Raw genomic sequence first — 26,946 nt, 5'->3', positions numbered from 1 at the left:
TTTACCACCAGTAACTGTTGGATCAGCTTATTTTGGGCTCTCCTTTCCTTCTCAGATTATCAACAAACATTTATTGAGCATTTACCTCAGGGGCCACAAAGAGAATAAGATGCTGGTTCCGCACTCAAGGAACTCGGTTTAGGGGCAAGACAGATAGGGAAACATTTTCTCGTTGTTTCAGTAAATCCTTGAGTGCCTACCCCGCACCAGGTGCTGTTTTCCAGGCACAAGAGCGAACAACGGACAAACCCCTGCTTTTAAGCTCTTACATTCTAGAGGGGAAACACCTCATACATGTAGTAAAAGTAGAGTGTTTGGAAGGAAAATAATGTGGAGTGAAACTGCTGAAGCGGAGTTGTAGGTGTTCTAGATGGGGTTGTCAAGGAAGGCCTTAAGGGAGAGCCTCTCTGGATCAATTTTCTCATTGTAAAATGAGGACAATAATTGTACTTATCTCAGGGTTTTGATGAGCATCGAGGGAGAGAAAACGCGTAGAAAGTGAGAGTATTACGGGGATAAGAGACTTCTAGGCAGAGGGCAGGGAAAACACAAAGGCCGTGAGGCAAGAGTGGGCTCAGAGCGGATGCAGATTTACTAGGAGGCCGGTGACTATGGCTGTGGTGGGGGTCCCAGAGTGCCTTTTGGCCAGGCCAAGGACTTTAGGTTCTGTTCTGGGGTGGGGAATGTCAGGAAGGATTTGAAAAGAAGAGTGACATCAACTTGTTCTAAGAGAATCACTCTGGCTCCTTTGTTAAGACGACATAGCAGTCCAAAGTGGGGAAGCAGGCCAGCGGGCTGGCTTTGTGACATCCTGGAGGGTAGAGACAACAGAATAGAACAGCACGCTACATACTGCACTGGTGCTTAGATGGATTTCTGCGGCATAAGGGTAGAAGTGGAGGGGGCACCTTACTCAACTCGGAGGGTCAGGGAAGGCTTCCTGGAAGAGGAGATAAACCCCTGGAGGTTAAGAAAAGTGAGCTAGGCAAACTGAGCAAATACAGAAGCAGAGTCATACAGGCCTGAAGGACGCCATGAGCCAATTTCCTGTTCCTGGAGGCGCAGGGCAAGGGAAGGAATTGGCCCGCTGGAGGTTAATGGCCAATACTGAGCACTTCTGAGGGCTCAGTGCTGTGTTAGGGATGTTTTATCTCCTTTGATCAGAAACAAAACCCTGAGATAGGTACAATTGTTATCCTCATTTTGCGGATGGGAAAATAGACTTCGAGATACTGACTTGGCGAGGGTCACACAACTAGATGATGTGCTGGGTCCCCCAGTCCTGGACTCCGGAGGCCCCCTGAACGACCTAGGCACACTTGTGGCTTCCGTGAATTTAAGTGCACACAGCCCCCGCCTGGCCCTGTGCTGGGGAAGGGCAGGTGGGAGGAGGAAGGGAAGGCAGGTTTTTCTTTACAAATGGTACCTATTTGGTAGTCAACAAAAGGAACTGGATTTGCCCCAACACTGGAAGAAAAAAAAAAACAACCTGTTGGGCTGAGGGATAGTGCACTGTGCCCAGGGCCCTATACTTGGTTTGATGCTCTGGTGTTACTCTCTTGAAATTCTCAGTAACATGAATAAGGGGCACCGCATTTGACATTTTCCCTGGGCTGAGACCATGATGCAGCCGGCCTGACTGCGCAACACCATGCACACTGGAATTCGTGGGCCATCGGAGGGATTTTCGAGGGTAATGACCAGGGGTAGGGCGCGGCAGAAGCGCAGGGTGAGGTTGCGGACGGCCTCACTCACAACCTTTCCGGGTCTTCGCATTAGGTACTGTGATGACGGGTTCCGATAGTGACCCCTTGGGGCCTGGAGACGGCCCGGCTCCCCAAAGGTGCGGAGCAGGGCAAGCAGGGTTGGGAGGACGTGGCCCGTGGGAGAGCTGCGCTCGCCGGAACAGTGGGCGCGCAAGGGCCCCGAGGCGCTGTGACACGGGACGTCGGGCGCGCGGGCCTGGGGCGGGAACTGCGGGTGCGCGCGGCCCGGGGCGGGGCTCGCCGCCCGGCTCCTCCTCCACGCGCGGCCTGGCGGCGGCGGCCACTCTAACCAGCGCAAAATGTCCCTGGAACAGGAGGAGGAAACGCAACCTGGGCGGCTCCTAGGACGCAGAGACGCCGTCCCCGCCTTCATTGAGCCCAACGTGCGCTTCTGGATCACCGAGCGCCAAGTACGGCCCGGGCCCGGCGCGACTAGGGGCAGGGAGGGGGCGGGCCGGGCCGCGTGGAGTCGGGCTGACCCGGGTGACCTTGGCCAGGCCACGTGGGCGCCCCCTGTCTCCGTTTCCTCCTCTCGGAGTTGTGCCGGGAACGCGCACCACCGGCCTTCACCCCTTAGGGCGCGGCAGGGGACGCAGGGGAAATCGAAGCTGCCAGATGCCCACGACCACAACGTCACCCTCCAGATTGCCCTCTCGGAGGGGCCCAGTCCGCGCAGGTGGCTGCTCCCTACTGCCTGAGCTGTGGCTGAGCAGCAGATTGGGGAGAAACAGGCTCTCGCACCTTGGTAAGCTCAGCCACTTTCGGTGAGACCCCCGAGGCTTTGGGAAGCCACCCTTGGGCAGGACATAAGCAGGACTTATCTCCCTGCAGCGTCTAGGGCAGCACCGTCCAATAGAAATATGATGTGAGCCTTACAGGTAATTAAACATTTTCTAGTAGCCACATTAAACAAGATAAAAACAGCTGAAATTTTTAACAATACAGTACATTTAGCCTAGCAGGTGCAAAATATTAACATTTCAACATGTAATCAGTAAAAAACATTGCTGAGATATTTTACTCGCTTTTTTGGTACAGAGTGTTCCAAATCCGGCGTCTGTTACCTTCACAGCACATCTGGGTTCAGCCGCATGTGGCGAATTGGAGAGCAGGGCTTTAGGGGGTTCTCTTTGAGGCCTCTCCTAAAGTGGGGTCCAGCCCTGTTTTTTTTTTAGGTGGGGAAATTGAGAAGGGGCGGTGAGCTCAGGTTGCTCCAGCAGAGCCAAGGCTTAAAGCCAGAACCACTACAAAGTTTAGAGTTTGCTGGAGCAAACCTCTTTTTCCCCAGTGTGACCCCAGCTGCACCATTGAGCCCTTAATGGGGCGTCCATCCTTTGTCACTGGAGTGAAGCCTTATAGCAAGCAGAGAGTGAGGCCACAGACTCTTGAGATATTCTAGGCCATTGCTTCGAGGTCGTATGTGAGATATGAACGTAAGACCATTTGAACCCCCAAAGTCTGGGATTTTAACCCTCAAGGGCAATTTGATACTGAGAGGTTAAGGGCACAGACTTCTGAATCATTTCCTGGCTGTGTTGCCTTGAGTACATTCAGGAGTCCCTCTAAGCCTCAGCTTCCTCACCTGGAGAACCTGGAGAGGTTGGGAGGATCCCAGGAGATGATGCCAGTAAAAGGCAGATCACAGACCCTGGCAGGTTCTCAGAAAAAAAAAAAAAAAGCCAACTGTTAGTATTTATATCTTTATTTTTCTGCTGCCATTAACCTCTCTGTTGCTTTTCTCCCTCCTAAGTCCTTTATTCGACGATTTCTTCAATGGACAGAATTATTAGATCCTACAAATGTGTTCATTTCAGTTGTAAGTATTGTTTTCAGAGCTAATGAATTTCACATTTTATTTTGAAACTTGAAGTCTGTGTGTCCCTTTTTTTTTTTTTTTTTTTTTTTTGAGACGGAGTTTCGTTCTTCTTGCCCAGGATGGAGTGCAGTGGCACCATCTCGGCTCACAAGAACCTCTACCTCCCAGGTTCAAGCGATTCTCCTGCCTCAGCCTTCCGAGTAGCTGGGATTGCAGGCATGCGCCACCATGCCCGGCTAATTTTGTATTTTTAGTAGAGACGGGGGTTTCTCCATGTTGGTCAGGCTGGTCTTGAACTCCCGACCTCAGGCCCTGCCCACGTGTCCCTTTTAAAAGCAGTTGAAATAACAGAATCTACATATATTATTGTGTTTATTCCTTCTAAATGAGCTTGTCAGATTGGAAGGGGTAAGGAAAAGCGTACATCTGACCGTGTGCCGTGGCTCATGCCTTTAATCCCAGCACTTTGGGAGGCCGAGGTGGGTGGATCACCTGAGGTCAGGAATTCGAGACCAGCCTGACCAACATGGTGAAACCGACGTCTCTACTAAAAATACAAACATTAGCTGGGTGTGGTGGCAGACACCTGTAATCCCAGCTATTCGGAAGGCTTGAGGTGGGCGAATCACTTTCTGAACCCAGGAGGTGGAGGTTGCAGTGAGCCGAGATCTTGCCACTGCACTCCAGCCTGCGTGACGAGCGAAACTCCATCCCCTTCCCCCAGCAAAAAAAGAAAAGAAAAGCGTACATCTGTTTAACAGGTAATATCAGGCCCAGGCCAGGTGCTGGGGATTCAGAGAGAATCAAACAAATCTTCCACGTGATGGAGGACAGACTGGCTAAACTGGTCACATCCTGGGTGACAAGAGTGAAACTCCATCTTTAAAAAAAAAAAAAGAAGAAAGAAAATGTAATAAAATTAGAAGCAAATATAACCAGATGTTTACAGTTGTTAATTCTGGGTGAGGGGATTATAGTGTGTAGCCATTCTTTGTAATTTTTGTATTTATTTTTTCTCAAATTAAGAAATGGAGGCTGGCTGTGGTGGCTCATGTCTATAATCCCAGCACTTTGAGAATCTGAGATGGGAGGATCTCTCGAGAATAAGAATTTGAGACCAGCCTGGGCAATGTAGCGAGACCCTATCTGTACAAATAAAAATAGAAAGTTAGCCAGGTGTAGTGGGTTGTGCCTGTAGTCGCAACTATTTGGGAGGCTGAGGCAAGAGGATCACTTAAGCCCAGAAGTTTAAGGCTGCAGTGAGCTATGATCACACCACTGCACTCCAGCCTGGGCAACAGAGTGAGACCCTGTCTCTTAAAAAACAATAAGAAAAGAAAGAAAGAAAAAGAGAGGAAATAAGACTGAACTGATAAGACATGGAAGTGGGTGAGGGAGAAGGACTTCTAGGTTTCTGACATGTATAGCCAGGGGATGGTGGTAACCATTCAGTGCGACAGTTGACATCAGAGAGTGGGGGAGGTGACAGCACCATTGGGGGCAGCTGCTGGAGCATCTAGGAAGAGGAAGGCATAAATCTGAATGGCACTCAGGGCTATCCTAATGGATAGAGAGCCTAGGGCACCATGTGGCTTGAAATCAGGCATGCAGTCGAAGTCCAGTGCATGCTGGTGAGTGAGCTGGTGATTCCTACCTCTGGGGATAAACCTGAACAATGTTGAGATCATTACTTGATTACTTGATATCTGATTTTAGGAAAGTATAGAAAACTCGAGGCAACTATTGTGCACAAATGAAGATGTTTCCAGCCCTGCCTCGGCGGACCAAAGGGTATGTTTCACGTGCTCAGGTCTGGCTGGTTGCCCTCAGATGGTTCTGCCTGCATGGTCTGAAGTCAGGTGGAATTTGGCCATTAATCTCTGTCTCCGTCTCTTTTCTTTCTTTTTTCCTTCCCTTGGGAGCCACTGTTCTATTGGCTATTAATGCTGTCATTGTTATATACTGCCCAGAGGACCAGCTTTGCAAAACTGGGTTAGTTTTTTAAATGTAGTTAGAATTCTGTCCCATAAACCAGACAGCAAGTTTCCTCCTACACAGTGGATATTTGTGGGGATTCCCTGCAGCTGATTCCTGGAGCCCAGTGGCAAACCCCAGAATTCAGACAGGGCTCTGACGTCAGAATTCATTCTCCACTGCAGGCAGCGTTCCTGCCGATAGGCTCAAACGGACTGTTCCTTATCTACCTTGCAGTATGTGGGGCTTTCTGGAGCTCACAAACACCAGCTCCTCAAGACAGCCTATGGAGAGCTCACATATTTAACTTTTTCTAAGAATGTGCTGGGGACCCTGGGCTGACAGCTTGGCTCTGTTGCAAGTAACTTGACTGATGGCATGGTGTGTCATCAGCACACAGCCTGCTCTGCTCTGAGCCAGAGGCAAGCCGGATTCGGGGACTCATCTGAGGGATAAGTTAGGTGTTGGTATTCTCCAAGGGTAGAGACAGGACTTTTTAATGTTCTGGTCCATTTCTCTGTGTGGCTCGTCTCTTTGCTTGTCATTAGTTCATTTGTTTATTCATATGATCCATTTATTTTGATTTGTTCTGTCAATGTGGTAAATAACAGCTCTGGCCTTCACTCTCTGAAAGGTAGAACAAATGTGGTCCCAGAAATGAGACAGGCAAAGAAATTCTTTGCTGTTGAGCCACCTTTAAAAGCTTTTTTTTTTTTTTTGTTTTTTTTTGTTGTTGTTGTTGTTTTTTTAAGGCTGGGTGTGATGGCTTAACCCTGTAATTCCAATGGTTTGGGAGGATGACTTGATGCCAAGACTGCAAGACCAGCCTGGGCCGTATAGCAAGACCCCATCTCTACTAAAAATTAAACAACTAGTTGGGAATGGTGGCGTGAGCCTGTAGTTTCAGCTATTCAGGAGGGTGAGGTGGGAGGATCGTTTGAACCCAGTAGTTCGAGGCTGTTCTGCAGTGAGTGATGATTGTGCCACTATACCCCAGCCCTGGGTGACAGAGCAAGACCTTGTCTCTTAAAAAAAATTTAAAATGAAACAAAGCTATTCTTTTTTCTCCTTTAAGATACAAGAAGCTTGGAAGCGGAGTCTTGTAAGTTTCAGCCCCTTCCTAATTTTTAGTGTCCTATAATAACAAAACCAGACATCCAGCTAACCTTGCATCTCTCCTTTTGAAGGCAACAGTGCATCCCGACAGCAGCAACCTGATCCCCAAGCTTTTTCGACCTGCAGGTGAGTTGGTTCTAATTTTCAGAAGTGGGTTGGGAAGATGTAGTTTCTAACACTTAGAAAACTCTGCCTGCCGGATCACCTGGGGTCAGGAGTTCGAGACCAGCCTGGCCAACATGGTGAAACCCCGTCTCTACTAAAAATGTAAAAAATTAGTTGGGCATTGTGGTGGCACGTGCCTGTAGTCCCAGTTACTCAGGAGGCTGAGGCAGGAGAATTGCTTGAACTTGAACCCGGGAGCCGGAGGTTGCAGTGAGCTGAGATCATGCCATTGCGCTCCAGCCTGGGCAACAAGAGTGAAACTCCGTGTCCAAAAAAAAAAAAAAAAAGAAAAGAAAACTCTGCCTGCCTTGCTTTAATTATTTCTCCCCCAGCAGGATTTCTTTCTTTTTTTTTTTTTTTGAAACAGTGTCTTGCTCTGTCACCTAGGCTGGAGTTCAGTGGCACAATCTCGGCTCACTACAACCTCCGCCTCCCAGGTTCAAGTGATTTCTCCTGCCTCAGCCTCCTGAGTAGCTGGGATTACAGGTGCCTGCCACCATGCCCAGCTAATTTTTTTCCTTTGTGTATTTTTAGTAGAGACAGGGTTTCACTATGTTGGCCAGGCTGGTCTCGAACTCCTGACCTTCTGATCCGCCCACTTGGCCTCCCAAAGTGCTGGAATTACAGGCGTGAGCCACTGTGCCTGGCCATGTTATAGTAATTTTATGTACATACTTTATTATTATTGTCATTTTTAGAGACAGGGTCTCGCTCTGTTACCCAGGCTGGAGTACAGTAGCACCATAATAGCTCAAAGCAGCCTCCAACTCCCAGGCTCAGCTGATCCTTCTACCTCAGCCTCCTGAGTAGCTGGGACTACAGGGTCATGCCGCCACACCTGGCTTTAAATTTTTTATGGAGGTGGGGGTCTCGCTACCTCTACAAAATAGAGGCTGGTCTCGAACTCCTGGCCTCAACCCATCCTCCAGCCTCAGCCTACCAAAGTGCTGAGACCTTGACCCCCCACTTTATTAGAAAAACAAAGAATGAGTGGAAAAAGTCCTTTGAGGTCTGTGCCTTCTGGAAGCTGGGGAAGAGGTGTTCAGGTGGGTAGTCCCCTTCTGGCCCCCTCTGCCTGGGCAACTGTGATCACTGACACCTCCTCTCTTCTCTTCCTGCCAGCGTTCCTGCCTTTCATGGCACCCACGGTGAGCAAGCAGACATTTGCCGTTAGGAGACTAGGGGCTTGGGAAGATGGCCACTCTCCTCCTAACCTCAGCTGTGTCCCTCCAGCTCCGGACCCCTGTCACATGACTGCCTGATAGATGGTTGTGGATCCCCACTGATAACCCATGGCTGCTGTTCATACGTCCTTGTCCCCACTCCCTCCCCCTCCCCACACCCTCCCAGTCAGGCATCCGGGCCTCTGGAAGGCCCACAGCTTGGCAAGGTCATCCCTTTTCTGAACACCAAGTATGCGCAGAGCACGGTAGAAGCGGCCAGTGAGTTAGGATGAGCTCCCTGCACAAACCCCTGGCCACCAAGTCCTCCTCTGACACAGCCCCTCACCTGGGACCTGGCATTGTCCCTGTGAGGCTTTTCTCACCTTGGCCCTTGGGAGGTGCTTTTTGGTTTTTTGGGTTTTTTTTGTTTTTCGAGACAGAGTCTGGCTCTGTTGCCCAGGCTGGAGTGCACTGGCGCAATCTCAGCTCGCTGCAACCTCTGCCTCCCTCGTTCAAGCAATTCTCCTGTCTCAGCCTCCTGAGTAGCTGGGATTACAGGCGCTCACCACCATACCCAGCTAATGTTTTTATTTTTAGTAGAGATGGGGTTTTGCCATGTTGGCTAGGCTGGTCTCGAATTCCTGACCTCAGGTGATCCACCCACCTTGGCCTCCGAAAGTGCTGGGATTACAGGCGTGAGCCACCATGCCTGGACCGTTTTTTGTTTTTTAAAATAGGGTCTTGCTCTGTTGCCCAGGCTGGAGTGCAGTGGCACAATCATAGCTCACTGTAACTTCAAACTCCTAGGCTCAGTGGATCCCCTTACTTCAGCCTCCTGAGTAGGTGGGAATACAAGTACTTGCCACCATGGCAGGCTAATTTTTTTATTTTTACCAGAGTCTGAGTCTTGCTACATTGCTCAGGCTGGTGTCGAACTCCTGGCCTCAAGGGATCCTCCCAGTTTGGCCTACCAGAGTGCTGGGATTATAGGCGTGAGCCATCACTCCCAGCCTAGGAGGTACTTGTCCACACCACAGGCTCCTGTCTGCTTTCCCTAGCAAATGTGTACTTCTTTTTTTTTTTTTTTTTTTTTTTTTGAGACGGAGTCTTGCTCTGTCTCCCAGGCTGGAGTGCAATGGCATGATCTTGGCTCATTGCAACCTCTGCCTTCCAGATTCAAGCGATTCTTCTGCCTCAGCCTCCCGAGTAGCTGGGATTACAGGTGTGCACCACCACACCCGGCTAATTTCTGTTTTTCGTAGAGACGGGGTTTCACCATGTTGGCCAGGCTGGTCAACTCCTGGCCTCAAGTGATCCTCCCACCTCAGCCTCCCAAAGTGCTGGGATTATAGGAGTGAGCCACTGCACCCAGCTAACAAATGTGTACATCTTAGCTACCCTGCTGGACTAAGGCCCTGGAGACACGGCCTGCTGTTCGACCCTGGATGTCCTTAGAGCTGCTAGTTTGGTGTTTGGCAGGTGCTCACTCAACCTTGTCTACGGACCGGCAGCCCCTGTACCCACCACCATCCTCTCCTGCCCCAGCTCCTTGGGGGCTCAATTCTCCCTCTCCCCTGGAAAGTTCTTTGCTACTGCAAGTTCTCCTTCCACAGCAACACTTGTAACTCTGTTCCACTGTCTTCTTAAAAGGTATTTTTGTCAATGACGCCACTGAAAGGGATCAAGTCCGTGATTTTACCTCAGGTAGCCATTCTTCCTGTTTCACGATTACTAAATTCTGTTATGCTTGAAACGAAAATGCGATCCATTTGCCCCTCTCGGCAGGTTTTCCTCTGTGCCTACATGGCAGCGTTCAACAGCATCAATGGAAACAGAAGTTACGTGAGTATTATGAGACCCAGAGAGTGTGGGGTTTTGTGTTATTCCTTTTGGAGTTTGTTGTATGTGTTTGTTTTTAAATTATCTTTGCTGGATAAAACTGTGATATTTGCTAATTAAGTACTTTTGTTTCTCCTTAGACTTGTAAGCCACTAGAAAGATCATTACTAATGGCGGGAGCCGTTGCTTCTTCAACTTTCTTAGGAGTAGGTATTTTTAGAATCTGTCAAATCTTCTTTATTCCTCAGAATCCAGGAAGTTTTATTTATTCCAATTACAAATTTATGTTCCAATTTAAACAATTTAGAAAATATGACTAGGAAATAAAAGTCACCTGTAATTGTATTATCCCAAAATAATCATGTTAATAGTTTAAGTTTCTAAGCATATACATGGTACTGTTGTCTTTTTATTTTTTTCTATTTTCTTTTTTTTTTTTTTTTGAGACACAGTCTTGCTCTGTTGCCCAGGTTGGAGTGCAGTAGCATGATCTCAGCTCACTGCAACCTCTGCCTCCTGGGTTCAAGTGATTCTCCTGCCTCAGCCTTCCGAGTAGCCGGGACTACAGGCACGTGCCACCACACCCAGCTAATTTTTTGTATTTTTTAGTAGAGAAGGGATTTCACCATGTTGGCCAGGTTGATCTCAAACTCCTGACCTCAGGTGAACTGCCCGCCTTGACCTCCCAAAGTGCTGGGATTACAGCCATGAGCCACCACGCCTGGCTGGTACTGTTATCTTTTTAAAAATTGTTATATGAATTGTGTGTTATAAATATGTTATATAATTTGTGTATTGCTTTGGATGTCAAGACACTGTAATGGTGAAAGATGGGGAGATGTTGGCATCAGACAAGCCTGGGCCCTCATCCTGGCTCAAACCTTTAATGGCTCTGTGACTCTCAACAGCTTCCATACCTCTCTCTAAGCCCCTGTTGACTCCTTAGATGAACAGGGAGAGGACCTCCACGTTGCAGGAATTTGAAAAATACCTGAAGAGCACTGGCAGTGGTCTGACTTGTAATAGGAACTAGGTCAGGGCGACCTCTCTGCTAGTGAGTAGGTTCCGCTGATTTTTCAGTCCCATGAAATAATGATTTTTCTCTCTTCTTTTCTAGGTAATCCCTCAGTTTGTCCAGATGAAGTATGGCCTGACTGGCCCTTGGATTAAAAGACTCTTACCTGTGATCTTCCTCGGTGAGCAGGAAGGGCTGGAGGCTGCAGTCTGGGTGGGGTGTCTTTGTGGTCTGTGAGCCTTCCTTCATCTCCAGAGGCACCTGGCTCCCTTGGCACATTGTGACTGATGACAGGTGGCCTTTGCAGCCCGGCAGGCCCCCAAGCCCAAATCAGGTCTTTGGTTTGAGAGGTGACACTTTCTGTAGATACCCACATTAATGGCTAAAGAATGAACACAAGACTGGAAACACAAATTACATTTTTTTTCTTGAGACGGAGTCTTGCTCTGTCACCCAGGCTGGAGTGCAGTGGCATGAGCTCGGCTCACTGCAACCCTCCGCCTGCTGGATTTAGGCAGTTCTCCTGCCTCAGTCTCCCAAGTAGCTGGGATTACAGGTGTGCGCCACCATGTCCAGCTAATTGTTTTTTTGTATTTTTAGTAGAGACAGGCTTTCACCATGTTGGCCAAGCTGGTCTTGAACTTCTGGCCTCAAGTGATTCGCCTGCCTCAGCTTTCCAAAATGCTGGGATTACAGGCATGAGCCACCGCGCCTGGCCCTACATTTTAAAGATTATCTGTGTAAACGTTCTACTTACATTATTTTACTTAATCCCGACAACAACTTATGGGTAGGAAATATTATTCCTATTTACAGAGGAGGAGACTGAGGCACAGGGAGGTTAAGTAACTTGCCTAGAGTTACACAGCAAGCAAATGGTTAGTATAGAGATTCCAACCCAGTGGGGTGACAGAGATATTAGCTGAATATTTTGACTCTGCCAGCCTGCAAGTTTACTATGTCACGCTCCAAATTTGGGTTTGGGAATCATAGCAGTTTGAAGAGTTGGCAGACTGATGTCAGTGGTGAAATTGAGGAAATGGTGTTATAGAAACCTTACAACTTTGGCCGGGCATGGCGGCTCACACCTGGAATCCCAGCACTTTGGGAGGCCATTGCGGGTGGATCACTTGAGATCAGGAGTTTGAGACCAGCCTGACCAACATGATGAAACCCCGTCTCTACTAAAAATACAAAAATTAGCCGGGCGTGGTGGGGCATGCCTGTAATGCCAGCTACTCTGGAGGCTGAGGCAGGAGAATTGCTTGAACCCGGGAGGCGGAGGTTGCAGTGAGCTGAGATCACACCATTGCACTCCAGCCTGGGCAACAAGAGTGAAACTCTGTCTGAAAAAAAAAACTTAAGCAAAGACGAGGGAGGAATATGTTTCCAAGATCCCAGGGTTTCTCCTAGAATCCGGTAAGGAAGCAGGGGTGCTGGAAGCTGGTCCCAGGCTGTGGTCAGGATCCAAGACTGAGTGGCCAGCAGTTCTTAGCCTACTTCCACAGCCCCAGGAGAGCACTTGGTTGGCCCAGCCTATGGCAGGTGTCCACCTGAGGGTCAAGAAAGGCCAGCTGTCAGAGAAAGAGGCTTGCAGGGGGCAGACACCCAAAGAGATGTTCCTTTGCTGGAACAAGACTCACCCCCGTCTTGGGTGTTCTTTACTTCTTTACATCTACAGTGCAAGCCAGTGGAATGAATGTCTACATGTCCCGAAGTCTTGAATCCATTAAGGGGATTGCGGTCATGGACAAGGAAGGCAATGTCCTGGGTCATTCCAGAATTGCTGGGACAAAGGTAAGAGACAGGATGAAGCTATAGCTGCTTGCCTTTTGGGCAACGACTAGACTTTTCTGTTTGAAAGCCGGTGACAAATTCATGTCTGCCTTCAACCTTTCTTTACCCGTCTTTCCTTAGCATGCTGAGAGAGAAATTTCTCATTTTGCCCCCTGATAAGATGGGGCATTAGTCTGGGTTCTCTGGAGAAACAGAACCAATGGGATATATGTACATAATCTTTCTTTCTGAGACAGGGTCTTGCTCTGTCGCACTGGCCTGGAGTGCAATGGTGCAGTCTTGGCTCACTGCAACCTCTGCCTCCCTAACACAAGCGGTCCTCCCACCTCAGCCTCTCAAGTAGCTGGGACCACAGGCACACACCACTGCACCTGGCTTATTTTTGTATTTTTAATAGAGACGGGGTTTCACCATGTTGGCCAGGCTGGTCTCGAACTCCTGGCCTCAAGTGATCCACCCACCTCGGTCTCCCAAAGTGCTAGGATTACAGGCATGAGCCACCATGCCTGGCCCCCAATTCCTTTTTGAAATCTCTCAAAAGAAAAGCATGCACCTCTGTCTCCATTGTCCCTCCCATTCACTCCTGAGTTCAAGTGATCCTCCCACCGTGGCCTCCCAAAGTGCTGGGATTACAGGTGTGCACCACCGCACCTGGGCAGTACATGTCTATTAGGAGATTTGTTCTAAGGAATTGGCTTACACAATTGTGGGAATCTGCAGGGCAGGCCTGGAGGCTGGAAACTTGGACAGGAGCTGCTGCTACAGCCTTGAGACAGAATTTCTTCTTTGGGAAACCTCAGTTTTTGCCTATAAGGCCTCTAACTGATTGGATGAGGCCCACCCACATTGTGGAGGGTAACCTTCTTTTCTTTTTTTTTTTTTTTGAGACGGAGTCTTGCCCTGTCACCCAGGCTGGAGTGCAATGGCGTGATCTCAGCTCACTGCAACCTCCGCTTCCTGGGTTCAAGCGATTCTCCTCCCTCAGCCTCCTGAGTAGCTGGGATTACAGGTGCGTACCACCACGCCCAGCCAATTTTTGTATTTTTAGTAGAGGTGGGGTTTCACCGTATTGGCCAGGCTGGTCTCAAACTCCTGACCTCAGGTGTTCCGCCCGCCTCGGCCTCCCAACGTACGGGGATTACAGGTGTGAGCCACCGCGCCTGGTGGTAACCTGCTTTTCTTAAAGTGAGCTGATTGCAGACGTGCCCTGTGTCTGCAGAGTACCCCTACAGCAACAGCTAGATGAGTGCTGGATTAAATAACTGGGTACTGTTGCCATGGTGACCCGTGAGGCTGACTGCCACAGACAGGCATCTGACAAGTGCTGGGTACCTCTGAGAGTGAGATCCTATTCTTCAAATCCAATATCTGCCCTCCCAGTGTGTGCTGATTGGGGGCCACTCCCCTCCCAGCCTGCTCTGCACTTACAGAGGTCAGTGGACACCCCTTTCTGGGGTTAAAAGAGCCCCTGCTTCTCCCATTCAGCAGATGTCCTTATAGTCTTCATTGCTAAGGACTACTTTTGTCAAGAATGGACTTAGAACATTGAATTCTCTGATCCAAAACTCCTTTTCAAGGCCTCAATTCTGAATAATTTTTACTATTAGTTTCTTCTTTTTCTTCTTCTTTCTTTTTCTTTTCTTTCTTTTTTTTTTTTTTGAGACAGGGTCTCCTTCTGTCGCTGGAGTGCAATGGTGTGATCACGGCTCTACAGCCTCAACCTCCCAGGCTCAGGTGATTCTCTCACCTCAGCCTTCCAAGTAGCTGGGATTCTAAATATGCACCACCATGCCTGGCTCATGCTTGTGCTTTTTATAGACATGGGGTTTCGCCATGTTGCCCAGTCGTGTCTCAAACTCCTGAGCTCAAGTGATCTGCCCACCTTGGCCTCCCAAAGTGCTGGGATTGCAGGGGTGAGCCACTGGGCCTGGCCAAAGTATTCTTTTGTTCAGTTCAACACAGTGACTACTGAGTGCATTCAGCCGTGAGAACCTGGTATAGTCTATGGTCTTTTCATTTTGGGTGTGGACTTTTAAAATAATATGTTTTTAGCAGGTGAGATCTTTTTTGGTCCCTGTGAAATGACTTTAGCTGAAGACTTTAGTTGTTTGCAAATGACATATCAAGCAGAGTGGAACAGCCCTGATATGAAGTGAAGGGACTAACCGGGCTTCTGGCAGTGTGGGATCCAGAGGACTCCCTTAGCCAGCCAGGGTATGTCCTTCTACTGACCAGCATGTTGGTGGCAGGGAAGCTCAGAAAAGATGGTTGTTCATTCCATCGGTAAATACGTCATTATTCAGCTCACCAAACATATTACTTTAAATCCTATCACTGACTGACAAAGCTGAATTATAAACTATCAGATACATGCTAATGGTATTTCCACTAGACCATCTAGTAGCATAGCTCCTTACCTAAATGAATTATGACAGAGATAAAATAATTATAAGTAACAGAGAAATTGCTGCCAGTAAGAAAATAGGTCACTAGTTTGAAATGAAGGTTCTGGGCCTAACAAACCACCCGTAAGTTGGATCACTTGCAGTCGGTCAGGAGTTCGAGACCAGCCTGGCCAACATGGTGAAACCCTGTGTCTACTAAAAAGGCAAAAATTAGCTGGGCATGGTGGCGGGTGCCTGTAATCCCAGCTACTCGGGAGGCTGAGGCAGGAGAATTGCCTGAACCTGAGAGGTGGAGGTTGCAGTGAGCCGAAGTCGTGCCATTGCACTCCAGCCTGGGCGACAGAACAAGACCCCATCTCAAAAATAACAAACAAACAAAAACCACCTGGGACTGCATTTGCGCTTTCCCCTGGGGAAAAAAAAAAACGCCCGAAAGAGACATTTTTTCAAACAGCTTTATTGAGGTATAATTTACATACTGTAAAATTTACCCATTTGTAAGAGGATAGTTTGATGAATTTTAGTCAGTTTAAAACAGTTGTGCAGCCAGGCATGGTGGCTCACTCATGCCTGTAATCCCAACACTTTGGGAGGTAGATCGCTTGAGTCCATGAGTGCGAGACCAGCCTGGGCAGCATAGCAAAACCCTATCTCTACAAAAAAATTTTTAAAAAATTAGCTAGGCATGGCGGGGTGCATCTGTAGTCCCAGCTGCTTAGGAGGCTGAGGTGAGAGGATCAACTGAGCCTAGGAGGTTGAGGCTGCAGCGAGCTATTATCACACCACTGTACTCCAGCCTAGGTGACAGAAAGAGACCCTTGTCTCAAAAAATAAAACATAGGCCAGGCGCGGTGGCTCACGCCTGTAATCCCAGCACTCTGAGGGGTCTGAGGCAGGTAGATCACCTGAGGTCAGGAGTTTGAGACCAGCCTGGCCAACATGGTGAAACCCTGTCTCTACTAAAAATACCAAAATTAGCCGGGCATGGTGGCTCATGCCTGTAGTCCCAGCTACTCAGGAGGTTGAGGCAGGAGAATCACTTGAACCCAGGAGGCAGAGGTTGCAGTGAGCTGAGATTGCGCCACTGCACTCCAGCCTGGGTGACAGAGAAAGACTCTGTCTCAAAAAATAATAATAATAAATAAATGAAACAGTTGTGTGACCATCACCACAGTCCAGTTGTAGAACATTTTCATCATCCTAAAAATGTCCCAAATGCCCACCCCCACCCCCACCCCCAGCCCTAGGGAGGCACTGATCTGCTTCTTTTTTTTTGTTTGTTTGTTTTGAGTCAGAGTCTCACTCTGTCGCCCAGGCTGGAGTGCAATGGTGCGATCTTGGCTCACTGCAACCTCTGCCTCCCAGGTTCAAGCGATTCTCCTGCCTCAGCCTCCCAAGTAGCTGGGACTATAGGTATGCGCCACTGCGCCCAACTAATTTTTTGTATTTTTAGTAGAGACGGGGTTTCACCATGTTAGCCAGGATGGTCTCGATCTCCTGACCTCATGACCCACCCGCCTCGGCCTCCCAAAGTGCTGGGATTACAGGCGTGAGCCCCCATGCCTGGCCACTGACTTGCTTTTCTGTCTTCTTAGTTTTTGCCTTTTCCAGAAATTATACATAAGTGAATCACACTGTAGTTTTTTGTGTCTTGCTTCTTTCACGTTTGAGATTCATCCGTCTTGTACCACATGTTGCTCATTTGTTACTTTTCATTGCTGAGTAGTATTCCGTTCCTGGATGTGCCGCATTTTGCTTATCTATTCTGCCGGCGGTGGACGTTTGGGTTGTGTCCAGGCTTGGGTTATTATGAATCAGGCTGCTCCGACATTCACTTGCACATCTTTATGCATATGTGTGTTTGTATTTCTCCACAACTCCATGTGAACTTAAGGTGTTAGTATTGCTCTGACCTATTCATAAAGCTGGAGAGGAGAGTGAGAGCACATTTTTTTAAGTTCGTTTATTTATTTATTCATTTATTTATAGAGACAGAGTCTCCCTCTGTTGCCAAAGCTGGAGGGCAATGGTACGAACATGGCTCACTGCAGCCTCAACTTCCTGGGCTCAAGCGACCCTCCTGCCTCAGCCTTCTGAGTAGTGTGCACCGCCATACATGGCTAATGTTAAAAAAAAAAAGTTTGTAGAGATGGGGTCTCGCTATGTTGCCCAGGCTGGTCTCAAACTCCTGGCATCAAGTGATCCTCCTGCCTTGGCCTCCCAGAGCGCTGGGAGGTGTGAGGCACTGCACCCAGCTTAGAGCAAATATCCAATGAGCAAGTTGTTCCCAGCACCTCCTGCCTGCCAGGCTTGGTGCTAGGCTCTGGAGACCCACACCCTGATCAGTGAGAGCCCCGTCTCCCCAGCAGCCCCAGCCTCCAGCGGAAAGGTAGCCTCAGGCCTGACTGGCTGTCTGGAGTCCATCTCACCAGAAGAAACTTCATTTTTGGCATGAGGGGCATGTTAGGGTCAAAGAAAAGCTTTACTGGTCTACTTTAAAAAAAAAAAGGTCTTTTTTTTCTCTGAAGAATAAAGTGTCTGCAACTGTGCATAAGCATTCTTCTATCACTTCCCTGTCCCTGGAAGGTTATTTTCTTCGGCTAAAATTTCAGAAACTGCGTAACCAGCAATATCTGATGGTAACAGGGCACGGTTGGTCCAATTTCAGGTGACGCGTGGCTGTTGTTTCCCCCGACTGGCCCCATAAGCCACTGCTTTGCACACAGCGCCTCCTAATGACGGCGTCTCACTTGGAGTGTCCTCCCCACACATGGGACTAAGGGAGAGAGGCGGGCCTCGCCCCACTGATGTGGACACACAGCACACTAACAGCCATTTTTCCCTTCCGGAAGTCAAGCAATTTTACTTTATATCCCTGAGACTTTTATTTTATTTTCTTTTATTTTAGAGACTGAGTCTCGCTCTGTTGCCTAGGCTGGAGTGCAATGGTGTGATCTTGGCTCACTGCAACCTCTGCCTCCCAGGTTCAAGTGATTCTCCTGCCTCAGTCTCCCGAGTAGCTGGGATTACAGGCGCCCACCACCACGCCCGGCTAATTTTTGTATTTTTAGTAGAGACAGGGTTTCACTATGTTGGCCAGGCTGGTCTTGAACTCCTGACCTCAGGTGATCTGCCCACCTTGGCCTCCCAAAGTGTTGGGATTATAAGCATGAGCCACCGTGCCCGGCCCTTAAGACCTTATTTTAAAAACAGCCCTCCTCGGCTTCCTCTCTTTTGTGGGGGGGAAAGGCATTCCCTGCAGAGGGAACCATGCAAGCGTGACTGTCACCCACAGCAGGGCAGAGGTGCAAGCAGAGAGCAGGGGCCGGGTGGTAGGAGGAGCCTGGGAAGGTAGGTCAAAGCCAATCATGGGAAGCTGGAAGTGGAAGGAACAGAGTTCAGGGAAGGACGGGCGCAGGTGTGCCTGCTCCTCTTGGGTACACGATGTGCTGTTTGTGGTGTGTGTGTCTTACCCAGGGGTGGGTTCTAAAGTTAACATGTTAGCTACTCAGGAGGCTGGGGTAGGAGGATTGCGTGAGGCCAGGAAGTCGGGACCAGCTTGGGCAACATAGTGAGATCACATCTCTACAAAAAATCGAAAAGTTAGCCGGGCCTGGTAGGGTGTACCTGTGATCCTGGCTACTCGGGAGGCTAAGGTAGGAGGATCACTTGAGCCTGGGAGGTCAACACTGCAGTGAGCCGTGATCACGCTACTGTACTCCAGCCTGGATGACAGAGTGAGACCCTGTCTCTAAAAATAAATAAATAAATGAAAGTAGTAAAAAAGTTAACGTGAGCTGTCTTATAGTCAAAATTTCCCTTACAAGTCCCTTAAAGTGCCCTTGAGGGTACATGGTTTTGTACATACTCACCCATACAGTAAATTGTATGTTTAAATGTTTAATGTATAGAGTAATGTACATTATAGAAAAGATTACAAAAATGTTATAACCTGTACATAACACAATTTTATAGTATAACACTTTTAATTCGCTGTGAAACGTGGGTACGGACAGGCAGCCTTGTGTGGGTCTCATGCTGTGCCCGTGCCCTCAGAGCTGGGCATTTGGAGGCTTCCCCAATGGCAGGTATGAGAGTCACTGCTGAGCCAGGTCAGGACAGGAGGCCAGTGGCAGAGACTTGGCTTGGATGGGAAATACGGAGCAAACCTCTGTGGCAAATCCAGCATTTCCACTGAGGAACCATTTGGTTCTCAGTGAAGATCTGTCTAGAAGCCACCTTTGCTTGTACTTAGTGGATAGTTTATTTGGGGTGGTTTGGCAGACGGTGCCAGCTATTTCTGGCACAAAGTGCAGCCGACCGCCACACACCTGTACATGGAAAGTTACGTGGAAGGCGTCCCCTCCGCCTCTCTCCACGGGCATTCTTTTTCTAAGTGAGAAGGGTGGGTTACTGTTGCCTGTCTCTCGCAGGAGTTGTGGGATCCCTGGAAATCGTCTTGCTCCTGTACTAAGTTTCTTTTTTGAGACAGAGTTTCACTCCGTCGCCCAATCTGGAGTGCAGTGGCGTGATCTTGGCTCACTGCAAAATCCGCCTCTCAGGTTCAAGTGATTCTCATTTCTCAGTCTCCTAAGTAGCTGGTACTACAGGTGCATAACACCACACCGGGCTAATTTTTGTATTTTTTGGTAGAGACAGGGTTTCACCATGTTGGCCAGGCTGGTCTCAAACTACTGACCTCAAGCGATCTACCCGCCTCGGCCTCCCAAAGTGCAGGGATTACAGGCGTGAGCCACCGTGCCCAACCTAAGCTGTTTTCTTTTCATTTTTGCTAGGCTGTTAGAGAAACGCTAGCATCCAGAATAGTGCTGTTTGGGACCTCAGCTCTGATTCCTGAAGTCTTCACCTACTTTTTTAAAAGGTAAGAGACACGGTCATATCCCCAGGTAGGGATTTGAAAGTCAAATCCTTATAAAACCTGTCAGATACTGACCCTGGTGGAGGGTGGGGAGAAGTTGGCTCAGTAACCTTCCCATAAACACACATCACAGCTAAGACAGGCGGATTGATTGTGGCAGGCGTGGAAATCCGGGTGTACGGATTCCACCGAATGGGGAATCCAGCCCAGGCTCTGCCTCCAGTTACCCCGTGTCCTTGGCGTGTCGAAGGACCTTCCACGGCCATTTCCTCACCTCTAGAATGAGGGGCTTGGATGATTTGCAGGTTCCCCTGGCTCTCATGTGCTGTGAATATTGCTCAAGCCCTCCTCTCTAAACCCCCATTCCAAGTATGTTTTAAATGAGCTTCAGCGACTCCGAATTCAGATCCATCCCTTTTAAGAAGCCAGAAATGGCCTACGAGGCGGAGGACCTGGGCATCCATCAGGGTTCCTGTGGCCACCAGTATGAGAAACCTAACCTGCAGGAGCTCAGACCCGAGGGGAGACGTTGGGGCTTTAGGGCCGGAACGGGCAAGGATTGCAGTCCATGGCAGCTTGAACAGAAGCTCCCCTGCTGGGCGCGCCTCCCTGTCATTCTCGTGGGTGTCGAGTCCTTCTCTCCTGCCAGATTGGCTTCTTCATATTGATGCGGGACCCACTTGCTAGTAACTCCCAGCTCATAGCCTCACAGCCTCCTGATCAGAGGTGGAACACAGCAAACCCCAGGGGAGGCAGGAATGTCTTCCCCTCAGGGCAGACTCCTGGGGAAGGATTCTGTGGGCCTGAGTTAGGTCGCATGCCTGGGGTGCACATCCCCCCCACCAGTGTGGCGAGGCTGGGAATCGCCTGCTAGGACCACACATGGAGCACATTTCCAAGAAGGAGGGATGGGATGGTGCGGTGGCTCACGCCTGTAATCCCAGCACTTTGGGAGGCCAAGGTGGGCAGATCACCTGAGGTCAGGAGTTCTAGACCATCCTGGCCAACATGGTGAACCCCGTCTCTACTGAAAATACAAAAATTAGCAAGGCGTGGTGGCGGGCGCCTATAATCCCAGCTACTCGGGAGGCTGAGGCAGGAGAATTGCTTGAACCCAGGAGGCGGAGATTGCAGTGAACCAAGATGGCACCATTACACTCCAGCCTGGGCGACAGAGGAAGATTCTCTCAAAAGAAAAAAACACAAAACAAACAAACAAAAACAACAAAAAAACAGGCCTTGATCTAGCTGTTCAGGTACAACAAAAAGAAAAAAGAACAGGCCCTGATCCAGGTGTTCAGGTACACACACACGTGCACACACACACACACACACACACACACACACACGCCCTGATTCAGCTGTTCAGAAAATAAGCCCTGATAGTTTAACATCACTTGTGAGCCATGCCTTGTCTCTTACAGGACCCAGTATTTCAGGAAAAACCCAGGGTCATTGTGGATTTTGAAACTGTCTTGTACTGTCCTGGCAATGGGACTGATGGTGCCATTTTCTTTTAGTATATTTCCACAGATTGGACAGGTAAGTGCCCCCATTCCTCTTTTCTCTCAAAGTTTTTTATTTTGCAGTTAGAAGAATAAAATAAGTTATTCTTCTTAAAACTCTGCAAAGTTTATAAAAATATAAAATAAGACCAGGTGCAGTGGCTCACACCTGTAATCCCAGCACTTTGGGAGGCCAAGGTGGGAAGATTGCTTGAGCCCAGGAGTTCAAGACCTGCCTAGGCAACATAGTGAGACCCCATCTCTACAAAAAATAATACACAAATTAGCTGGGTGTGATGATGCACACCTGTTGTCCCAGCTGCGCAGGAGACTGAGGTGGGAGGATCACCTGGGCCCAGGAGATTGAGGCTGCAGTGAGCCATGATTGCACCACTGCACTCCAGCCTGGCTGAGAGTGAGACCCTATTTCAAAAAAATAAAATAATAAAACAAAATACAATTGGCTTTTGAACAACCTGGGGGTTAGTAGTCAAAAATCCAAGTATAACCTTTGACTCCCTGAAAACTTAACCATTAATAGCTTACTGTTGACCGGAAGGCTTACCAATACCATAAAAAGTCAAGTAACACATATTTTATATTTTATATGTGTTGTATACTGTATTCCTACAATAAACTAGAGAAAATAGAACGTTATTAAGAAAATCAGGCCAGGCGCGGTGGCTCATGCCTGTAATCTCAGCACTTTGGGACGCTGAGGCGGGCAGATAACTTGAGATCAGGAATTCAAGAGCAGCTTGGCCAACGTGGCAAAACTCCAGCTCTACTAAAAATACAAAAATTAGCCACGGTAGCTGTAATCTCAGCTACTCGGGAGGCTGAGGCAGGAGAATCGCTTGAACCTGGGGAGGTAGAGGTTGCAATGAGCCAAGATCATGACATTGTACTCCAGCCTGGGTGACAGAGTGAGACTCTGTCTCAAAAAAAAAAAAAAAAAAAATCATAAGAAAAAATATATTTACTGTTTATTAAGTGAAGGTGAGTCATCAGTTTCAGTGAGGATCAAAGTCTTCATCCTCGTCATCTTCATATTGAGTAGGCTGCGGAGGAGGAAGAGGGATTGGTCTTGCTGTCTCAGGGGTGACTGAGGGGGAAACAGTATATAAGTGGACCTGCATTGTTCAAACCTGCATTATTCAAGGGTTAATTGTAATGATATTTATATTTAATTCTATCCCTCAAATCTCTTGGTGCAGTTTTGGGTTCTGTTTTTCTTAACAATATTTCATAAGCCTTTTTTTCTGGGGCATAAAAAGAAATCTTTTAAAATTACTTAGAGAAATTTTAAATACTCCAAAATGTTCTATAACTACGCCCTCTCCAGTGGAACTTTCTGCAGTGATGGAAATGTTCTATAATAGATTGGTGCTGTCCAATTATGGTAGCCATGAGCTACGTGTGCTACTGAGCACTTCAGGAGAGGCTGGTGTGACTAGGGAACTGAATTGTAAATTAAGTTAAATTTTAAATTAGGTACTCTTGTGTGCTTAGTGGCTATTGGACAGCCCAGTTCTATAGATAATTTATAATATAATTTATGATGAGTCAGGCTGCTTGGACTCAGATTCCAGCTTCTCCATGACCTTGGTCAACTTGCTTAGTTTTCTTATCTGTTAAAGAGAGCTGAAGATAATGGCATCTCTGCAAAGGGTTGTTGCTTAGTAGGTAGCAAGGACATTTTTTTTTTTTTAAGTCAGAAAGCCAATTTTTTTAATTTCCAAAGCTCTGCCATAAATTGCTAGCAGATGTCAAAGACATTACTGATGCTAGCAGATATTAGCAATTTTTTTTTTTTGAGACGGAGTCTCGTTCTGTCACCCAGGCTGGAGTGCAGTGGCGCAATCTCGGCTCACTGCAAGCTCCACCTCTCGGGTTCATGCCATTCTCCTGCCTCAGCCTCCTGAGTAGCTGGGACTACAGGCGCCCGCCACCACACCCAGCTAATTTTTTGTATTTTTTAGTAGAAATGGGGTTTCACCATGTTAGCCAGGATGGTCTCGATCTCCTGACCTCGTGATCCGCCCGCCTCGGCCTCCCAAAGTGCTGGTATTACAGGCGTGAGCCACCACGCCCGGCTGATACTAGCAGTTTCTTGGCTAAACATTTCAAATGTTCATTTCTGTCACTATAAATATATATGTCCTCAAAAGCATTTATATTTATGGAATGATCTTGTTCAGAACCCACGTTTTATAGGTTTAGGTTGTAGGATCATTCATTCAAGCAACTTTGCCAGCACAACGTAGAAGTTTCAGATTATTTTAGATAGTTATGCCTATTACTATGCTATGGGCGAGGGGTTGGGGAGCGAGGCAGCATCTCAGAATAAAATTTCAGGCCAGGCACGGTGGCTCATGTCTGTAATTCCAACACTTTGGGAGACCAACGTGGGAAGATTGCTTGAGGCCAGGAGTTCCAGACCAGCCTGGGGAATGTAGTGAGACCTCGTCTCTACATAAAATGTTCTAAAAATTAGGTCGGGTGCTGTGGCTCATGCCTGTAATCCCAGCACTCTGGGAAGCCCAAGTGGGAGGATCACTTGAGCCCCGGCGTTCAAGACCAGCCAGGACAACATAGCAAGACCTCGTCTCTGCTAAAAATAAAAATTTGGCTGGGCACAGTGGGTCATGCCTGTAATCCCAGCACTTTGGGAGGCCGAGGTGGGAGGATCACTTGAGCTCAGGGTTCGAGACCAGTCTGAACCTCATCTCTCTTCTGAAAAAAATTGTTTAAAAAGAAAAAATAATAATTAGCCAGGCATGGTGGTATGTGCCTGTAGTCCTAGCTACTCAGGCAGCTGAGGTAGGAAGATCACCTGAGCATGGGAGGTCAAGGCTACAATGGGGTCACAGAGTGAGACCCTGTCTCGAAAAAAAAAAAATTAGTAGGGTGAAGCGGCACACACCTGCAGTCCCAGCTACTCAGAAGGCTGTGGTGAGAGGATCACTTGAGCCCAGGAGGGAGAGGGAAGAGTTCATCCCCAGTGGAGGATGGGAAGGGCTGAATGGGCACGTGAGGCTGCAAGGAACAGGCAGGATGCTGGGGGCCAGGTGGCAGGGCCTGCACAGCCAGGCCAAGGAGCAGGGCAGCAGGTAAGTCATGCAAGGTTGGAAGGGGCAGAACTCCCAGAGGCCAGAGTGGAGGCAGGAAAGGGAGTCAGTCTCACGCGTGACCTCAGATGCCAAGACTTGCTTGCTGGACTTTGGAAATATCCTGTTGGGGCCGGGCGTGGTGGCTCATGCCTGTAATCCCAGCACTTTGGGAGGCCGAGGCGGGCGGATCACGAGGTCAGGAGATTGAGACCATCCTGGCTAACACAGTGAAACCCCGTCTCTACTAAAAATACAAAAAAATTAGCCAGGCATGGTGGCAGGCGCCTGTAATCCCAGCTACTCGAGAGGCTGAGGCAGGAGAATGGTGTGAACCCTGGAGGCAGAGCTTGCGGTGAGCCGAGATCGCGCCACTGCACTCCAGTCTGGGCGACAGAGCAAGACTCCATATCAAAAAAAAAAAAAAAAAAAAAAATTCAAAACATTAGCTGGACGTGGTGGCGGGTGCCTGTAGTCCCAGCTACTCGGGAGGTTGAGGCAGGAGAATGGCGTGAACCCCAGAGGCGGAGCTTGCAGTGAGCCGAGGTCGCGCCACTGCACTCCAGCCTGGGTGACAGAGTGAGACTCCATCTCATTTAAAAAAAAAAAAAAAAAAGACACAAAATATCCTGTTGGCTCAAGGAGGGCATGGAGGTGCTTAGATGAGATAAGGAGTTATTACTAATTTTGTTAGGTGTGACAATGACATAGTAGTTTTGTAACTACTGTCATTACTATATCAAGTACTATATCAATAATGATAAGGTCTTTATCATTTGGAACTTGTAGGTGACATGACATGAGAATTGCCTTAAAATACTCAAGGAAAAAAATCCTACTGCTGGGTGTGGGAGGTGCTTGATGAAATGAGATCTGCAAATTGTTAATAGTGATTCCTGAGTGAGCACATGTGAGTTCATTACATTCCTTCTACATTTGTTTTTTGTTTGTTTGTGTGTTTGAGACAGGGTTTCTCACTCTGTTGCCCAGGCTGGAGGGCAGTGGTATGATCATGGCTTACTGCAGCCTTGACTCCCAGGCTCAAGTGATCCTCTGACCTCAGCCCCCCAAGTAGCTGGGACTACAGGAACGTACTACCACACCTGGCTAATTTTTTATTTTTTGTAGAGATAGGGTCCCACTATATTGCCCAGGCTGATTGCAAACTCCCCACCTCAAGCAATCCTCCTGATCTCGGCTCACTGTAACCTCCACCTCCCAGGTTCAAGTGATTCTCGTGCCTCAGCCACTGGAGTAGCTGGGATTACAGGTGTGTGCCACCACACCCAGCTAATTTTTGTATTTTTTGTACCATGTTAGCCGGGCTAGTCTTGAACTCCTGGCCTCAAGTGATCTACCTGCCTCAGCCTCCCTAAGTGTTGGGATTACAGGCATGAGCCATTGTGCCCAGCCATCTTAAAACTTTTTAATGGAAACTTTCAATTATAAACAAATGTAGAGATAAGTAAATAACAATAATGGGCCAAGGATGGTGGTGCGCGCCTGTAATCCCAATCCCAGCTACTCGGGTGGCTGAGGCATGAGAATGACTTGAACTTGGAGGGTGGAGGTTGCAGTGACCTGAGATGGTGCCACTGCACTCCAGCCTGCGCAACAGAGCAAGACTCTGTCTCAAAAAAAAAAAAAAAAAAAAAGTTTAAGAAGTTTCTTTACTGCTTGGGTGATTAAAAAAAAAAATAGGTTACATTTTCTGCTATAGATTAGACATTATTGAAAAAGATGGACTGTGAAATGGTTGCTTTCAGAAAATGATTTTTTTAACTTGGCTTCTAAGGCAAGAAAAACTATTAATAGAAACATTATGAATTTAACTATTTTTCAGATACAGTACTGTAGTCTTGAAGAGAAAATTCAGTCTCCAACAGAAGAAACAGAAATCTTTTATCACAGAGGGGTGTAGGCGTGAGTTTTAGGTGAATTTATGTGGTTCCTGCTTGAAAACCTTCCCCTCTCCAGGTTCGGTTTAGAGAACTTTGCCACAGGTCTTCTGGGGACCCCAGAGGTGTCTGTGCTGACAAGGCGACTTCAGATTCCATACTGAGATCGTTCCCAGGCTGGCGTCTCTGGGGTTTTTAAGGCTGGCTGGAGAAGACAGTGGGAGGGTGCCCCGTCTGACACCCCTGGGGTTGCTGAGGGAACGGTTGGAGTGGGGATCGGCCTGCGAAAGGATACTGTGAAATCACTAATTAACTAATAAACCTGTCTCAAGTTGAGGATTTGAAGAAAGAACACAGAGTCCACCGTGCCCAGGACACAGGTGTTAAATGGATAGGCCGTCTCAAGCGGAACACGTACCCCTGGGGCGCTGTTTACGCCCTCCAACCCCAAAAGCAATCTTGTTTCCTTACTCAGTGTCCTCCATTCTAGACAGCTAC

At 48.2% G+C, this 26,946-nt stretch overlaps 1 protein-coding gene across 7 annotated transcripts, besides 3 other annotated features; it reads left to right on the top strand.

Annotated features, from left to right (window-relative positions):
* Positions 1,851-2,320: a silencer, noted in NCBI's record as "silent region_2869". NCBI's record gives its function as "represses an Ori minimal core promoter by ATAC-STARR-seq in GM12878 lymphoblastoid cells {active_cell/tissue: GM12878}" and the evidence as "EXISTENCE:reporter gene assay evidence [ECO:0000049][PMID:35858748]".
* On the top strand, positions 1,999-26,946 carry SFXN4 (sideroflexin 4). 7 transcript variants are annotated; one of them, NM_213649.2, is made up of 14 exons: positions 1,999-2,176; positions 3,517-3,582; positions 5,299-5,373; positions 6,632-6,658; positions 6,744-6,798; positions 7,960-7,985; positions 9,651-9,704; positions 9,786-9,842; positions 9,980-10,045; positions 10,957-11,035; positions 12,536-12,651; positions 19,853-19,938; positions 21,360-21,477; positions 26,394-26,946. In NM_213649.2, exons 1-14 carry the CDS (start codon positions 2,066-2,068, stop codon positions 26,469-26,471), a joined length of 1,014 nt encoding a protein of 337 aa, NP_998814.1. In that variant the 5' UTR covers positions 1,999-2,065; the 3' UTR covers positions 26,472-26,946.
* Positions 2,362-2,548: a silencer, noted in NCBI's record as "fragment chr10:120924677-120924863 (GRCh37/hg19 assembly coordinates)". NCBI's record gives its function as "represses an EF-1alpha promoter that drives an FKBP-Casp9 reporter gene in an ReSE screen in K562 erythroleukemia cells {active_cell/tissue: K562}" and the evidence as "EXISTENCE:reporter gene assay evidence [ECO:0000049][PMID:32094911]".
* Positions 24,765-25,266: an enhancer, noted in NCBI's record as "H3K4me1 hESC enhancer chr10:120901959-120902460 (GRCh37/hg19 assembly coordinates)". NCBI's record gives its function as "activates a minimal SCP1, AML or CMV promoter by ChIP-STARR-seq in primed H9 embryonic stem cells {active_cell/tissue: H9 hESC(primed)}" and the evidence as "EXISTENCE:reporter gene assay evidence [ECO:0000049][PMID:30033119]".

This window comes from Homo sapiens, chromosome 10 (assembly GCF_000001405.40).
Source record: "Homo sapiens chromosome 10, GRCh38.p14 Primary Assembly".
Taxonomy (NCBI): Eukaryota; Metazoa; Chordata; class Mammalia; order Primates; family Hominidae; genus Homo; species Homo sapiens.
This window is presented reverse-complemented; position numbering and strand designations above follow the sequence as displayed.

Coding starts and splice junctions, on each gene's coding strand:
- SFXN4 (NM_213649.2), top strand. CDS start 2,066: ATGTCCCTGGAACAGGAGGAGGAAACGCAACCTGGGCGGCTCCTAGGA. Junction 6,659..6,743: donor AAGCTTGGAAGCGGAGTCTT/GTAAGTTTCAGC, acceptor CTCCTTTTGAAG/GCAACAGTGCATCCCGACAG. Junction 6,799..7,959: donor CAAGCTTTTTCGACCTGCAG/GTGAGTTGGTTC, acceptor TCTTCCTGCCAG/CGTTCCTGCCTTTCATGGCA.